The sequence below is a fragment of the Homo sapiens genome, chromosome 3, assembly GCF_000001405.40.
Source record: "Homo sapiens chromosome 3, GRCh38.p14 Primary Assembly".
In the NCBI taxonomy this organism is placed as follows: domain Eukaryota; kingdom Metazoa; phylum Chordata; class Mammalia; order Primates; family Hominidae; genus Homo; species Homo sapiens.
This window is the reverse complement of record NC_000003.12, coordinates 6,283,251-6,301,925: the sequence shown is the minus strand read 5'-3', so window position 1 is coordinate 6,301,925 and position 18,675 is coordinate 6,283,251. Positions and strand designations below refer to the sequence as shown.

The window sequence follows — 18,675 nt, the reverse complement described above, 5'->3', positions numbered from 1 at the left end:
TATTATTTAATAGATCAGGTAGGGAGGAAAGAAAGCATGTTGTTAGAATTGTCATAAGTTAACTCAACATCTCTAGGGCTGCTGAGAGTTTTTCCAGCCACTATGCCAAAGAGTATGCAACATCTGCAGCCTTACAAATTAAATGGGAAACATCAGTTCAATGCGTAAGAATTAGAAACAACATCATGGGGAAAAACAAAAACACAAAACAAAAACGAAACAAAATATTTTAAAAAGTGACAACCCTCAAAACCGTAGAAGCTATCAGATACTAAAATACTAGAAGTCATCAGCATTAGTTCTCCTTCAAAGAACTGAATAAAAACATCAAAGACATGTGCAGAGATGTTTTTGTGCTCAGTTAAGAAAACATTATTTTTCAGACACAGTAATCTTATGCAATTTCATTATATAAGAAAACAGCTTTAAAAACAAAATTTCTTAAACAAACCACAGTAGTAAAACATAGCCAAGATAAGGTATGAGCTGCCCAGAGGTGTCTTGTATGTAAGTGGTCAGCACTGCTATGCAAGGGTACCTATAAAGGAGTAGGGTCAAGAAAATTTCTTGAATTTGTTCAGAGAAATGAACTTTTAACATCATCCACAGAGAAACATACAACAATTGGAAAGCTTTGGTGAAAGATAGAAAAGAAATCTTGCTTAATAGTCTGCTAAAAAAAAAATACTCTTACAAAATAAAGCACCTCTTTTACCTGACAAAGTCTCTTACTTGCCTAACATTATCAAGTACGGTAAATTAGCTTTCTAACTCCCCTATTATTACTCCTTCTAGAGACCAAGCTGTGGTTTTAAAAGGTAATAGGAGAAAAAAAATTATAACTGTCAGTCTACCTGCAAAAAATTTCAATATGACTTTAAATAAAAGCAAATGTCAAAGACACTTAAACTTTCCCTTGTTCAAAATCTTAACCTAGGAGAAGGAATGTATGTATCAGCTCTTTCATAAAAACAAGGAGGGGTTTCATGTCACTTTATAAAAGATCTCTCTTTCCCTAGAAAAAAGTCATCATTATGAAACCTGGGAAAACAAATAAATGATTAAATGAAAAGTCAGATAAAGAGGAATTAACAACTATATTTAAGTATCATTTCAACTAAAAATATATTTAAAAGATTAAAAAAATTAAAAACATAACTGAGTTCTAGAATTCTCTAATTCAAATTAAAAATGTAAAATATAACAACAGATTTGGGGTTGGGAACAAAAGTTCGAGCAATAAAGCGTGTTATATAATGTAACATAAAAAGCCAGAGAGAAGTCCATTCTGGTTTTGATATGCAACTATGACATTACAAAAACTAAATAAATGAAAGATCTTGTCAATTAATTTTGACACCATTTAGTGTTGGACAAATGAAAACAATATTAAATGCGCTTCGTAAGGTCTCTTGAAATGCAACCATGAACTGAGGCTGTGAATTGCTGAACATGTTTATTTAAATTGGTAAAATATTCATTACCAGATATATATAAAAATATTGCAGAACCTTAGAAACTATACAGCTAACTAATAGATACTTAGGACTACTTTAATATTTATTCCATAAAAACCTAAATACACAATAGTCAGATAACATAAGTTATGTGAAATGTCAAAGCAAGAAACAATTTTGACAACAGAAGATATGTTGGGGAAAAATGTAGTAAAGAATGATAAGGAAGCCAAAAATGTTTCTTTTGATAATAGGCATATTCAATCTTATGCCAATGAGTATATTAATCCAATACTTATGCCATCAAGTTCTAAAAAATTTATGCCAGGTGCATTTGGACATTTTTCACAAGGTAAATAATAAAACAAAACCTGCTTCTTGTGGTCTACTTTGTAAAGCATCACTTAATTTCTTAACCTCTTTCCTGCTGTGGTCTGTCTCTGGGTGCTTAGTGCCTAAGCCGGTAGGTGTATGGTAGGTAGAAAGACACTCTATAAACCCATGCCTAGCAACTGCATAACAGCTCAATTGGTTAATGATTTCAAACAGGATAGACCATTGATATGGACCATATTTTATTAACACTTCAGGCAACAATGTAATTATTACTTGCAATCATTTACTGTTTTAACTTTTCTAAACCAGCTATATTTACCTTTTGGTGGTGTACAAAAATAATTTGATATATGCAAAAAATGCTAACCATTTAAATAGAACATTTTTAGGTGAAGAGCTGATTCCCATTGGTTATAAATAGACATAGAGAAACAAAGAATTCAACATGTAAGTATAAAATAGGCTATAAAGTTTTACTTCTTTTCAAAAATGTTTGACAAATTATCTTATTTTTCCACAATTGGTTATTATTCAAGGGAAATATGTACAGTATGTTTAATGTAGCTGACCACACACTAATCAGATATTATAGTATATTATGTACTAATAATATACTATAGTATACTCTATACTAATAATAAACTATAGTGTAATTTGTTTTAAAGTTTATGGAAAATTTTACATCTCTAGTGTAAAAGATGTCTGTCTTTTGTTGACCTCATATTTGACATTGTAAAGGAGAAATGAGATTGAGAAAGAAAGAATTTTTTTGAATATATATTCTAGTTTTACTCTGCTGAATGAATAAGCCATAGATATAAGCAAACAATAATTAGCTGATTGAAACTTGAAGGAATTGCTGACTTTTTAAAAATGAAAATGTGCTCTTTTAAATTTTTTACTTGAAAAAAAGTGTATTTTAAAGAGACTTATTAAAACAAAGCTTTTAATTGTTTATGGTCAATAAAATATCTTTTGTGCATCATGACAATGTTTTTGATGGTTAAGGAGACAGAATGACAAAAAAGCAATACTCACATTATAGTGCTAATACTTTCTTTACATTTTTAGACTGAGTGTGTGTATATGTGTGTGTTTTTCTCTCTTTCTTTCCCTCTCTGTCAGTCTGTCAGGAGAGGTAGAGGAGGGCAGATACCAATGACCTACTTGAAAACTTTCCCTATTTCTGGTCATGTCTGAGAGGATATTCCATTTAAACAAAATGATCCAAAGGACAGGTAGAGTTTATAATCTCAGTTAACCTTATGGAAAGAAATTAACCAGAATATATAAGCTTAAAAGTTAGATTGTGTTTCTATACGTTAACAATGAATGATCTAAAAAATAAATTAAGAAACAATTTTATTTTAAAAAGTATCTAAAAGAATTAGTTAGAAATAAATGTAACCCAGGAGGTGAAAGTCTTGTACACTGAAAACTACAAATTATTGATGAAAGAAATTAAAGGAGACACATATAAATGGAAGACATCTCTTGTTTGTATATTGGAAGACTTAATAATGTTAAAATGTCCATACTACCCAAAGCTATCTACAGATTTAATGTTATCCTCATTGAATCCCAATGGCATTTGTAAGAGAGATAGATAAAAATCCTGAAAATTTTATGAAACTACAAAAGATACAATTGAGAAAGAAGAGCAAAGCTGGAGGCATCATAGTTCCTGATTTCAAATTAAACAGTACTGTGCTGGCATAAAGACAGATATAAACTATTGGAACAGAATAGAGAGCCCAGAATAGTCAACTGATCTTTGAAGAAGTTGCCAAGGATACATAAGGGGGATACAATAGTCTTCTCAGCAAATGGTGTTGGGAAAAACTGGATATTCACATGCAAAGGAATGACATTGGATCCTTAACCTATGCCATACAGAAAAATGAACTTAAGATGGATGAAAGTCTAAATATAAGACATGAAACTGTAAATCTCCTAGGAGAAAACATAGGACAAAATCTCCTTGAAATTGGTCTTCGCAAAGGTTTCCTGGATTTGGTACCAGGCACAGGAAGAAAAGCAAAATAGACAAGAGAAACTATATCAAATTATAAAACTTCTGCACACCAAGGGGAACAATCAACAGAATTGGAAAAGACAACCTATGAAATAAGAGATAAAATTTGCAAGCCATACATTTGATAAGGGATTAATTTTTAAAGTATATAAGGAACTTGTACAACTCAGGTGCAAAACACAAATGAACTGATTAATTTAAAAAAATGGGCAAGGGACTGAGAAATTTATTCAAAGAAGACACAAATGGCCAACAGGTACATGAAGACATGCTCAATATCATTAATTATGAGGGAAATGTAAATGAAAAACTGTGAGAGTTTACTTCATACCTGTTAGGATGTCTATTGTCAGAAAAACAAAAGACAAGTGTTAGTGAGAATATGGAGAATTTAGAAATCTTAAGCACCGTTGGTGGGAATGTAATATAGTGCAGCAGCCATGGAAAACAGTATAGAGTTTCCTCAAAAAATTGAAAATAGGACTACCATATGATACAGCTATTCTACTTCTGGGTATACATCTAAAAGAATTGAAATCAGGATCTCAAAGAGATATATCTGCACCCTCATGTTCATTGCAGTGTTATTCATAATAGCCAAGATATGGAAACAACATATGTTCATTAACAGATATATGAATTAAAAACTGTGATATATATATTTATATATACACACACATGTACATACACAATGGAATATAATTCAGCCTCAGAAAAGAAGAAAATTCTAACATTTGAGACAACATAGATTAATCTGGGGGACATTCTAACTGAAATAAGCTAGTTACAGAAGAACAAACGCTACATAATTCCATTTATGTAAGGTATCTAAAATAGTTAAACTTATAAAGTCAGAGAATATCATTGTGGTTACCAGGGGCTGGGAGTAGGAGAAATGAGAAATTTTTTTTCAATAAGCATAAAGTTAAACTTCTGTTAAGTGTTCTTGTCTTAAAGTATAAAACAAACAAAAAACAACAAAGGTACACAAAAACACTTCAGAGAGTGTTGAATATGTCGATTGTCTTGATTGTGGTGATGGTATCATAGGTATTTGCATATGTCTAAATTCATCAAATTGTAAACACTAAATATGTGCAATTCTTTGTATATCAATTATACCTAATATAGCTGTTAAAAAACTATTTACAACTCATTTTTTTCTAGTTGTTTTGTAGTTAGATTTCAAGACCAAATCCTACAAGTTCACTAAAAATTATCCATGCCAAATATCTCTAACTCATTTTAGATGAACAAATGCAATATCTCCACCAATTAAATGTCCTCTCTGATTTTCATAATATAATATAGATTCCTGATTTTAATTATTTATTGGCATGTCAGTTTTATCATGGCCAAAGTATTTGTGTATTATCATCATCACCCATAAATAGGAATGTGTGTGTCTCCTTTACATTAGCCGTTAAAACTATATATTTCATGAACTGCAATATTAAGAAATATAATTCCCAGAGAATTCTATTTCAAAAGCTGCAAATAATACAATGTATTGCAACCTCATAAACAGAAAGAATCCCATTTTCTAGCCAGTGATATTCACAGTAACATGTTTTATCTACCTGTGTCAACTCTTTTCATCTACCTGTGTCGTATGCCACATTGAGGGAAGAAGTGGAGAGAGGGGCCTAAGAGATTTAAAACATAGTCAAATATTGTTTGCATGGCTTTAGTAACTACTTAAGTATTTGCACAATTACAAAGTTTGGGGGAGGATCATAAAAAATTACTTAATGGGTACAATATACATTATTTGAGTGGTGGATGTCCTAAACTCTAACTTCACATTTGTATATGTAATAAAATTACACTGGTATGCTATGCACTTATGCAAATAATTAAAAAACTAAAATTAAAAAACTGAAATTGTGAATAGACAGAAAGAAAAAGTAAGCATACTTTCTTAAAAAAACACAGTGAATAACATAAAGTTAGTATTCAATAAAAGCAGATGCATTCAGTTCTTGTATTTGAGTGAGTGAATAAAACATTCAATTCCCCTAAGGTATTGGATCAAAATACTTTGTGATGACTTAATAAGGTTTTTTTGAAAGGTAGGGTGGTGGCTGAGGTCTTAGAAAAGCAAAGGCATACTCATGTATTTAAAATCATGAGTAAAACCAATGAAGTTTTTTTATTCAAAGAAATAATGGGTAGTAGTTACTTCTTCCTGTAAAAAGTTGAATTCCATGAATGGAAATGTTTGAAATGAAAAGTCTTACATCTGCCCTATTTAATTTGTGTAATCATTTTGAATGTATACATTCCAACTGAACTTTCTATAAATTTTAGTCATATAATAGTCATTTAAAAATTATCCTAAAGTATGAAATTTCTATAAAATTTCCTCTAATGATTATTTTTAGCTTAAAAAAATCAGTATCTTTGAGAAAACAATGGCAATATATTTTTTAAAACCATTAAGGTGTTTATTAATATCACTTTCAATTGTGCACAGTATTATCTTTCCAGCGAAGTCATAAGCTTCCTCTGGTCTTCTTAATATTACCATTCTACTATAAAATTTCTTTTTTATTAATTTTTTTATTTTGAGACGGAGTATCACTGTGTCACCCAGTGCTGGAGTGCAGTGGTGCAATCTCGGCTCACTGCAAGCTCCGCCTCCCGGGTTCACGCCATTCTCCTGCCTCAGCCTCCCGAGTAGCTGGGACTACAGGCGCCCGCCACCACGCCTGGCTAATTTTTTGTATTTTTAGTAGAGACGGGGTTTCACCGTGTTAGCCAGGACGGTTTCGATCTCCTGACCTCATGATCCACCCGTCTCGGCCTCCCAAAGTGCTGGGAGTACAGGCTTGAGCCACCGCGCCCAACTACAATATTTCTTAATGTCTACCACATATCTTGAGCATTACTGAACTATAAGCTTTACGTTCATTGATACCTGTGAGCTAAATGAAGACAGTTTACATAGCTATCCCTTGTACCAAATTTTTCAGGACAAATGCCATAATTTCATATAATTATCTGCAATGCGCTGAATATAAAACTAAATTGGATTTAATTTTTTTAACATATGAAGCTCTTTCAAATAAATACCTGACAAGGGAAGAATGTGTGTGCATATGCATGTATTTTAACCTACACATCATAATTTTTGGTTTACAATGTAAAATCATTGCAAGAACCTCTCATGTTAGTAAGATTTCCAATTACAATTTAAATGCTTACATTCCTGTAGCGTATTTTTTGTATAATAAATTTTATTTTATTTTTCATATTATGGAAACCTTCATTTGCTTTGTAGAAATGGGGGAGGATGATAAAAAATTACTTAATGGGTACAATATACATTATTTGAATGGTGGAAAATACAGATAATCTCCCCCCAAAAAAGGAGAATAATAATGAGTTATAATGTCATCACCCACAGAGTATTTTAATCTTGGTTCAGTTTCCTTAAACTCTTAAGCACTTCATTTTGACCTTCTTTTTATTTCCCACTGTCCCTATGGTTGATGTTGGCTCCATTCCACTTGTCTTATATCTGACAATGTGATCTTTGTCGCTTGACTCTATTTCTTTAATCCTCCTGCTCTTATGTCCTTGAGCTGGTCTTCAAAAGGCAAATCACATTTTTCACTCTTCCTGAAAGACTGAAGACCTTTCACTTTTCTGAGCCTGTTTCCACAATAAGCAGAGGAACCTTGTCTCAAAACCATCTCCAGTCCGTTTTCTATGAAGCCGTTCTGCATACACCTCACTTGGATAGAAATGATTTTCATGGAACTTGAAGTAGAGGCTCATTTCCCTCTCAGCGTTCAACTTGGCTTTGATTATAGAAACCTGGCCCCCACTGGAGGACAAAGACTTCTCACTGCCACACACATTAAGTGATTTTCACTACTCCCTGAGATTAAGCTCAGCATTATCCTGGCAAGTTGTAGTGCTATTCTGCAGTCCCTCAATAGCACTTTCCCTTAAAAGACCTGTGCTGGTTCTCTGCTTGCACTCTCTGGCTCAAAGCACTGTTATTGATTAGTTTGTACCATTCAAAGTTTTAAATGGTGTTTTATAACCCATGTTGCAAAGAACACAAAATCAGACATAAAGCTTATATACTGTTCAAAAACATAAACACAGTCATTTATTCCAGAAACTCATAAAAGCCATTAATATGTGTGTGTGTTTACTTTAAAACATGTGAATTACACATTAAGTAATTTTTCTTTCATTGGAAATCTCATGGTAGAAATCTCAAGTTAAGAAAAGGCAGTATACGTTAATTCAATTTTTAAAGTGTTGAAAAAAACTGTGATATTTAGGTCTGCAAAGCATTGTAAAAGGCATTTGCATTCATTTGTAATGCTACAAGTGCCTTTTGGTCTCTTTGATGAAGCCAATTTGGGAAGCTATGGGTGAAAAGCAGAACGACAGTTAAAGCCAGCCACTTGGAAGTCAATGTGGGATTTTCATTCAGTGTTATCAACTCAGAATGAATTAAATAGGCAAAGGATTAGGGAACTTTGAACGATTTCTGCCCTGGTTCTAGTATTAATCAGGTGAAAAATTTGGTTGAGTTTCAACATTGCTATGAGCTTCTCCTATTATATAGTGAGTGAGATTCACCAAATGATCTCCAAATACCCTTCCAGCCTTAGAACTCTATCAATCTGTGTTTTTTGTTTCACTCCCAGGAAACAAAGCAAACAATTGATTATTATAAACTTTAATTTCAGCTAGAAAAAAAGGTTTATGGGATATGAGGCTCTTTTGCTCCATGGAAACTATGCGGCCTGGGGTAAACTAAGATAGTTTCTTCAAGTGTCTGTGTCTTCAGAGGTGAAACAGTAATAATTTCATGGGTCCTACCAACCTCAGAGTGTTTTTAGTTTTCCAGTGAGAGAAAATAGGTGTAAAGACACTGCTAATTTTAAATACAACACAAACACATATATTTGTCTTCCCTTGACTTACTACTTGATATGATTTGGCTCTGTGTCCCCACCCAAACCCCATCTTGAATTGTACTCCCATAATTCCCACATGTTGTGGGAGGGACCCAGTGGGAGATAATTGAATCATGGGGGTGATTTCCCCCATACTGTTCTTGTGGTAATGAATAAGTCTCATGAGATCTGATGGTTTTATAAGAGGTTTCCACTTTTGCCTCTAATTCTCTCTTGCCACTGTCATGTAACAAGTGCCTTTCACCTTCCACCATGATTGTGAGGCTTCCCCAGCCACATGGAATTGTGAGCCCATTAAACATATTTTTCTTCCCAGTCTTGGGTATGCCTTTATCAGCAGTGTGAAAATGGACTAATACACTAACTTGGTACCAGTAGAGTGGGGTGCTGCTGAAGAAGTACCTGAAAATGTGGAAGCAACTTTGGAACTGGGTAACAGGCAGAAGTTGGAACAGTTTGGAGGGCTCAAAGAAGACAAGAAAATGTGGGAAGATTTGGAACTCCCTCGAGACTTGTTGAATGGCTTTGACCAAAATGCTGATAATTATATGAACAATGAAATCCAGGCTGCGGTGGTCTCAGATGGAGATAAGAAACTTGTTGGGAACTGGAGTGAAGGTGAGTTTCATTATGTTTTAGCAAAGAGACTGGTGGCATTTTGCCCCTGCCCTAGAGATTTGTGGAACTTTGAACTTGAGAGCAATGACTTAGGGTATCTGGCAGACGAAATTTCTAAGCAGCGAAGCATTCTAGGTGTGAGTTGGGTGCCATTAAAGGCATTCAGTTTTAAAAAAGAAACAGACCATAAAAGTTTGGAATATTTGCAACCTGACAATGTGATGATAGAAAAGAAAATCCCATTTTCTGAGGAGAAATTCAAGCCTGCTGCAGAAATTTGCATAAGTAACAGGAAGCCAAATGTGAATCACCAAGACAATGGGGAAAATGTCTCCAGGGCATGTCAGAGATTTTTGCAACAGCCCCTCCTATCACAAGCCTGGAGGTTTAGGAGGAAAAAAATGGTCCTTCCTCTGTATGCAGTCTAGGGACTTGGTGCCCTGTGTCCCAGCTGCTGCAGTCATGACTAAAAGGGGCAAAGGTACAGCTTGGGCTGTTGCTTCAGATGGTGGAAGCCCCAGCCTTGGCAGCTTCCATATGGTGTTGAGCCTACGGGTACATAGAAGTCAAGAATTGAGATTTGGGAACCACTGCCTAGATTTCAGAGGATGTATGGAAATGCCTGGATGCCCAGGCAGAAGTTTGCTGCAGGGGTGGGGCCCTCATGGAGAACCTCTGCAAGGGCAGTGTGGAAGGGAAATGTGGGGTCAGAGCCACCACATAGGGTCCCTACTGGGACACCACCTAGTGGAGCTGTGAGAAGGGGGCCACTGTCCTCCAGACCCCAGAATGATAGATCCACTTACAGCTTGTACCATATGCCTGGAAAAGCCACAGACACTTGGTGCCAGCCCATAAAAGCAGCCAGGAAGGGGGCTATACCCTCAATGCCACAGGGGCAGAGCTGCTCAAGGCCATGGGAACCCACCTCTTGCATCAGCATGACCTGAATGTGAGACATGGAGTCAAAGGGGATCATTTTAGAGCTTTAAGATTTGACTGCCCTGCTGGACTTCAGACTTGCATGGAGCCTGTATCCCCGTTGTTTTGGCCAATTTCTCCCATTTTGAATGGCTGTATTTATCCAATGCCTGTACCTTCTTTGTAACTAGGAAGTAAATAACTTGCTTTTGATATTACAGACTCATAGGCAGAAAGGATTTGCCTTGTGTCAGATAAAACTTTGGACTGTGGGCTTTGCGTTAATGCTGAAATGAGTTAAAATTGGGGGACTGTTGGGAAGGCATGATTGGTTTTAAAATGTGAGAGCATGAGATTTGGCAGGGCCCAGGGGCAGAATGATATGGTTTAGCTCTATGTCCCCACCCAAATCTCATCGTGAATTCTACTCTCATAATTCCCACATGTTGTGGGAGGGTCCTGGTGGGAGATAATTGAATCATAGGGAGGATTTCCCCCATACTGTTCTTGTGGTAGTGAGTAAGTCTCACAAGATCTGATGGTTTTATGAGAGGTTTCTACTTGCACTTCTTTCTTGTTCTCTATTGCCCCCACCATGTAAGAAGTGCCTTTCACCTTCCACCATGATTGTGAGGCTGCTCCAGCCACATGGAACTGTGAGTCCGTTAAACTTATTTTTCTTCTCAGTCTCAGGTATGTCTTTATTAGCAGTGTGAAAATGGATTAATACATTACTTACATAATGTAATGGGATAAAGTATTTAAGTACTAAGGAAGTATATGTGTTTTGTGTGTGTGTGTGTGTGTGTGTGTGTGTGTTATTCTGACTTCTGACATATACCTTACTCCATTACATAAACTCTTTACCTAGTGTTATATTTAATTTGCGTAGGTCTTATATCTGCACTACATTGTTATTCCAAGGCATTGAGCAGTTTCTTGAGTTAGAGGTAATATGTTCAGTTTAGTCATCTTTAAAATTCCCACTATCTCAACTCTTGTAGGTACTTCAGACCCAGTTTCAATGCCAAGCTTGGACTGCAGCCAGCCTACACGCTTACTGTTATCAAAGATCATGTTATTAGCCTGGGCATTGCTGTACAGCAAATGTAAGGCTGAATTTGATGAAAACTACAATTGCCTGCTCCTTCTCCAGTCTCAGAGCATGTCTCTTTATTAACCCTTTTTTAAAAACAGTTCTAGTAACCTATTATTGAAATACAATAAACTGCATATTTAAAGTATACAACTTAATAAGCTTTGACATATGTATAAACCCATTAAACCATCACCATAATCAAGATAATATTACTAATTGATCCTGATGAATCTTAAGGGAATTCCTCTCCCTGTGTTCCCAGCTGGATAATTGTCTCCCCAGAGAGAGATGAAGTTGTGCTGTAGCATTACAAAACCCCAGATCTCAGTGGTTTATTTTTTGCTCACGCTATGTCTATTTTGGGAGGCTGGGCACTGTTCTGCATCCCTACTATCCCCATTTTGGGATCTAGAATATCAAAACAGTAACCCCCTGGAACATTGCAAGTAACAATGGATGGAAAAACAAGAAGAAAATGTGGAAAATAAGCACTGACTTTTTAAATTTCCACCTTCCACCTGCAAATAAAAACTATCTCCAGTGCTCACATTTCATTGCCGAAGAAATCATAAAAGTATGACTGAATTCAATGCAGTAGAGAAATACAATCTCACCAATGTTTCCAGAGAGAGAACAAAACGTTTATGTAAAGCCCCATTGCCTACCTACAACTATATTTTAATAGCTCACACTTTAGGAAATATATTTAAAAAGGAGATAGCTTCTTGCTGTGAATGACTCCATTTGGCCTGTAATTTATTTATTTATTTTTTCAACTTTTATTTTAGATTCAGGAAGGACATGTGCAAGTTTGTTTCAAAGGTCTATTAAGTTATGCTGAAATTTGATGTACAAATAAATCTGTCACTCAGGTAGTGAACATAGCACCCAAGAGATGGTTTTTCAACTCTTATTGCCCTCCCTCTCTCCTGCTTTTGTATTCCCGTTTCTATTGTTCCCATATTTATGTACATGTGTACCCAATGTTCAGTGAGAACAGGCAGTATTTGGTTGTCTGTTTTTGTTTCAGTTTGCTTGGTATAATTGTTGCCAGCAGCATTCATGTTGCTGCAAAGGACATGATTTGCTTCCTTTTTATGGCTGCATAGTATTCAGTGATATATATATACCACATTCTCTTGATCCAACCCTCTCCTGATGGACACCTAGGTTGATTACACATCTTTGTTCTTGTACATAACACTGTGATGAACATAAGCATGCATGTGTTCTTTTGGTAGAACGATTTATCTTCATTTCAGTATCTAATCACTAATAGAATGGCGGGTCAAATGGTAGTTCAACTCTTAATTCTTTGAGCCATGGCTGAACTACTGTCCTCAGTGGCTGAACTAATTTACCTTTCAACAAACAGGGTATAAGTGCTCATTTTCTCCACAGGCTTGTCAACATCTGTTACTTTTTAAACTTTTTAACAGAAGCCATTTTGACTAGTGTGAGATGGTATTATGGTTTTGATTTGCATTTCTTTGATGACTAGTGATGATGAACATTTTTCATGTTTTTTGGCCACTTGTATGTCTTCTTTTGAGAAGTATCTCTTCATGTCCTTTACCTATTTGTAATGGGGTTGTTATTTTGCTTGTTGATTTGTTGAAGTTCCTTAGAGATTCTGGATATTACACCTTTGTTGGATGCAGTTTGTGAACATTTTCTCCCTTCTGTAGGTTGTCTAAGTCCTTGAAAGTTTCTCTTGCTGTGAAGAACCCCTTTAGTTTAATTAGTTCCCACTTGTCAATTTTTGTTTCTGTTGCCATTGTTTTTGAGTACTTAGCCATGAATTCTTTGCCACAGTTGATATTGAGAAGGGTATTTGCTAGGTTTTCTTCTAGAATTGTTATAGTTTAACATCTTATATGTAAGTCTTTAACCCATCTTGAGTTAATTTTTGTATACAGTATAAAGAAGTAGTCCAGTTTCAATCTTCTGCATATGGCTACCCAGTTACCCAGCATCATTTATTGAATATTTTCATCAACTTTGTCAAAGTTCAGATGATTGGAGGTTTGTGCCTTTATTTCTGGGTTTTCTATTCTGTCGTATTGGCCTATGTGTTGTTCGTGTACCAGTACTATGCTGTTTTGGTTTTTGTAGTCTTATAGTTTGAAGTTGGCTAATGTGATGCCTCTAGCTTTGTTCTTTTTGCTTACGTTTGCTTTGGCTATTTGGGCTCTTTTTTGTTCTCTATGAATTTTTTGATAGTTTTTTCCAGTTCTGTGAAAAATGACATTGGTAGTTTGATAGAAATAGGATTGAATCTGTAGATTGATTTGGCAGTATGGTCATTTTAATAATATGGATTCTTCTAATCCATTAGCATAAAGTGTTTAATCATAAAATAAATGTTTTTTCTTCATTTCTTTGTGTCACCTACAATTGTTTTCAGCAGTATTTTGTAGTACTCCTTTTAGAAATCTTTCACCTCCATGGTTACATGTATTTCTTGGTATTTTATTCTTTTTCTGGCTATAGTTAATGGGATTGCATTCTTCATTTGGCTCTCAGCTTGAACATATTGGTGTATAAAAATCCTACTGATTTTTGTGCATTAATTTTTGTATCCTCAAACTTTATTGAAGTTGTTTATCAGTTCTATTAATAGAAACCTTTTGGCAGTTTTTAGAGTTTTCTTTATATAGAATCATATTGTCAGAAAAGAGAGATACTTTGATTTATTTTTCTATTTGGATGCCTTTTGTTTATTTCTATTGCCCGATTACTCATATGGGACTTCCAGTACTGTGTTAAATAGGAGTGGTGAGAGTGGATATTCTTGTCTTTTTCTACTTCTCAAGGAGAATGGTTCCAGCCTTTGCGCATTCAGTATAATGTTGGCTGTGGGCTTGACATAGACGGCACTTGTTATTTTTAGATATGTGCCTTCAATGCCTTGAGAGTTTCTTGAGGGTTTTTAACATGAAGAAATGTTGGATTTTATAGAATCTTTTTCTGCATCTATTGAGATGATGATGTGGCTTTGTTTTTAATTCTGTTTATGTCGTGAATCACATTTGTTGATTTGCACATGTTGAGCCAACATTGTATCCCAGGAATAAAGCAGAATTGATCATGGTAAATTAGCTTTTGATGTGCTCCTGAATTTGGTTTGCTAGTATTTTGTTAAGAATTTTTGCATCTAGGCTTATCAAGGATATTGGCCTGAACTTTTCTTTTCCGTTGTGTCTCTGCCAGATTTTTGAATGAGGATAATGCTTGCTTCATAGAATGAGTCAGGGAGGAGTCCCTCCTCCTCAATTTTTTGGAATAGTTTCAGTAGTATTAGAAGCAGCTCTTTTTTATATAGTCTGGTAGAACTTGGCTGTGAATTCATGTAGTCTGGGGCATTAATGGTTGGTAGGTTTTTGTTATTGATTCAATTTCTGAACTTGTTATTGGCCTGTTTTGGTTTTCAATTTTCTCCTAGTTAAATCTTGGGAGGTTGTGTGGTTCCAGGTATTTATCTATTTCCTCTAGATTTCCTAATCTGTGTGTATAAAGATGTTCATAATAGTCTCTGAGGATCTTTTGTATCTATGTGTGATTAGTTGTAGTGTCATTTTTTTCATTCCAGGTTGTGCTTATTTGGATCTTCTCTCTTTTTTTGTTAATCTAGCTAGAAGCCTAACAATCTTGTTTATAGTTCCAAGGAACTAACTTTTGGTTTAGTTGATCTTTTGTGTAGATTTTTGAGTCTCAATTTTGTTCACTTCTCCTGATTTCGGTTATTTCTTTTCTTCTGCTAGTTTTTCTTCTGCTTAGTTTGTTCTTGTTTTTCTAGTTCCTCCAGGTGCAATGTTAGATTGTTAATTTGAGATCTTTCTAACTTCCTGATGTAAATGTTGGGTGCTATAAATTTTCCTCTTAACCTTGCCTTAGTTACATTCCAAAGATTTTGGTATGTTGTGTCTCAATTTTCATTAATTTCAAAGAACTTTTAAATTTTTGCCTAATTTTATTTTTTACCCAAGTCATTTAGAAGCATGTCATTTAATTTCCATGTAACTATGTGAACCCTGGAGATATTCCTGGTATTGATTTCTATTTTATTGAACTGTGGTCCAAGAAGGTGCTTGGTATGATCTTGATTTTTTTAAATTTGTTGTGACTCGCTTATGGCCAAGCATGTGGTCAATTTAGATTATGTTCTGTGTGCAGATGAGAAGAATGTATATTCTGTGGTTGTTAGTTTCAGTATTCTGTACATGTTTATTAGGTCCAATTGGTCAAGTATCAAGTTTAAGTTCAGAATTCTTTTTGTTAGTTTTCTGCCTTGATGATCTCTCTAACACTGTTAGTGGGGTATTGAGGTCTCCCATTATTATTGTGTGGCTATCTAAGTCTTTTTGTAGGTCTAGAAGAATTTGTTTTTGAATCTAGGTGCTCCAGGGTTGGGTGTATACATATTTAGGATAATTAAATTGTCTCGTTGAATTGAACCCATTGACATTATGTAATGCCCTCCTTTGTCCTTTTTTACTTTTATTGCTTTAATGTCTATTTTATCTGATATAAGAATAGCCACCCCTTCTCTCTTTTGTTTTCCATTTGCAAGATGGGTCTTTCTTCATCCTTTAACTTTGAGCTTGTGTGTGTTGTTACATGTGAGCTGGGTCTCTTTAAGATAGCCGACAGTTGGGTCTGAATTTTTCTTTTAACTTGCCACTCTATGCCTTTTTAGTGGGGCATTTAGGCCATTTACATTGAAGGTTTATATTGATATGTGAAACTTTGATCCTATTGTCATGTTGTTATCTGGTTATCTGGTTATCTTGTAACTTGATTGTGTAGTTCCTTTATAGTGTCTGTGGGCTATGTACTTAAGTGTGTTTTTGTGGTGGCAGGTATTGTTCTTTCATTTCCATGTGTAAGCACTCCCTTAAGGGCCTCTTGCAATGGTGTTCTAGTAGTAATGAGTTCCCTTAGCCATTCCTTCTCCAAAAAGGATTTTATTTCTTCTTCGCTTATGAAACCTATGAGAAATATTGGCCAGACATTAATTAAATTCCTGGTTGGAATTTTTTAAATTATGCTAAAAATAGGTCCTATCTCTTCTGGCTTGTAAAGTTTCTGCTGAGAGGTCTACTGCTAGCCTGATGGGATTCCCTTTTTAAGTGACCTGAACCTTTTCTTTACTTGCCTTTACTTTTTTTTTCATGTTGACCTTGGGAAAGACTGATGATTATAAATCTTGGGAATGGTTGTATTGTATAGTACCTAGCAGGGATTCTCTAAATTTATTAAATTTACATGTCTACCTCTCTAGTGAGATTGAGAAAATTTTTGTAGACTATAGCCTCAAATATGTTTTGCAAAGTGCTTCCTCTCTCCTTCTCTCTCAGGCCTGCCAATGAGTCATAGGTTTGGTCTCTACATAATTCTGTATCTCTCAGAGGCTTCGTTCATTAAAAACATTTTTTTTTTATTTTTGCCTGACCGAGTTGATTAGAAGGACTTGTCTTTGAGCTCTGAGATTTTTGCTCAGCTTGATCTATTCTGTTGTTAATGTTTCCAACTATGACTTGAAATTTCTATAGTGAATTTTTCAATTTAAGAAGTTCTTTCTTAACATGGCTGTGTCGCCTTTCAGCTCTTGGGTTGTTTTACAGGCTTCCTTGAATTGGGTTTCAACTGTCTCCGGGATCTTATTGAGCTTCCTTGCCATCCAGATTCTGTATACTATGTCTGTCACTTTAACTGTTTTAATTTGTTTAAGAGCCATTGCTGGGGAGCTAGTGTGATCATTCGAAAGTAAGGAGACACCCTGGTTTTTGAGTTGCCAGAGTTATCTTGCCCTGATTCTTTCTCATCTGAAAGGGCTGGGATGTTGCTTTATCTTTTTGAATTTGCTGTTACTTGGATGCAAATTTTTGTTTTTATATTAAATTGAGTATAGTTGATTGGCTTCATTTCTGAGTGTTTTCAGTGAGTTAAGGCTATGTTTGGAATCTTCATTTGTGGCTACATTCCTGCATTAGGTTTCACAGGCAATGTATACAGGAAGGATCTTGGTGGTGGTGTAATTCAAGCTGTGATCCAGTGGATGGTGCTTAAAAGTAATGGCTGGCACATAGATTCTCGCTCAGCTCCAAAGTTCTGCATTTCAGTGCATACTCAGCATTGCTCTGCATTTGGGGAGATAATAGGGTGCAACGACCCCCTTGCCAGGTCCATTCCCAGGCCTTATGGGATCACCCTCCAATTGCTGGCACTACCTCTGTGTTTCCTTAGCCCCAAGGGTGTACTAGCCAGCTGTGTTCCCCTCCCTGAGACCAGCCCAAGCTGAAATGTAGATTGCCAGGAGACCTGCAGCACTCCAGAGGCATGCTGGTCCTCTATGCTTAGCAGAATCAGAGCAGATTGTGGTATGTCTGCAGGCCATCTGTTGATGCAGTAATTCAAGGGGAGGGAATCTCCAGGAGGGACGGCGTTGCCATGGGCATGTAGCTGGTGTGGCACCCACAGCCCATGGTTTTTGTTTTGCTGAGCAGACAGCTGTGGGGACTACTTAACTAACTCTCCCTTGACCAGGTCTCCTTCTGGTGGCTGCCCCAGAATCTGGTCTGACCTGCTAGTTTTTTCCAAGCCTTCTGCACCCAGATTGCTGAGTTATTAGGTGTTCCAGGCTGTGGTGCTCCCTTAGGGACAGGTTGTGGCTAGCAGGCAGGTCACATTCTTCCTAGACTGGCCTTGTAGAGGGAGGCATACCCAGCTACCACACCAGTCCATAAACTTGCATCTCACTCTTCTCAGTGTTCTGAGAGTAGGGACTCTTCCTCCTCTCAAGTGCCAGACACAGATTTCAGCTCAGCACTCCTGAGCTCTAACCCTTGGTGTTAGGACTGGGCTGTCAGCTTTTGTCCCCTGGATCCTCAGAGTCAGTCTGTGCTATAAGGGCTGATGTGCTCTCGGGATACCAGCAAAGTACTCAGGCTGGGCAGTCGATGCTGTACTGTCTATATGTTCTTGCAGGAGTGTTCAGGCAGGAGCCTTAGACAGGTGGGTACACAGAGCCAATGTGTCCCAGTCTTGCAGGAAAGACAGCCCTACTCTCTCCTGGCCCAGAGTTAGTGGTTAGAGTCAGTTCAAGGAAGATGGAGAGCCTTAGGGGATGGGCACTCATGGCCACATTTTGCTACAACAGCCCCATGTGCAAAACTCCCTGGGCTACGTGCAGGTTCCAGCTCCATCTCTGCCTACTCTCTGGGTATAGATCCTGCTGCCAATTCAAATGTCTATGGAAGT

At 36.2% G+C, this 18,675-nt stretch overlaps 1 annotated feature.

Moving 5' to 3' along the window:
• Positions 17,506-18,006: an enhancer, noted in NCBI's record as "H3K27ac hESC enhancer chr3:6325607-6326107 (GRCh37/hg19 assembly coordinates)". NCBI's record gives its function as "activates a minimal SCP1, AML or CMV promoter by ChIP-STARR-seq in naive H9 embryonic stem cells {active_cell/tissue: H9 hESC(naive)}" and the evidence as "EXISTENCE:reporter gene assay evidence [ECO:0000049][PMID:30033119]".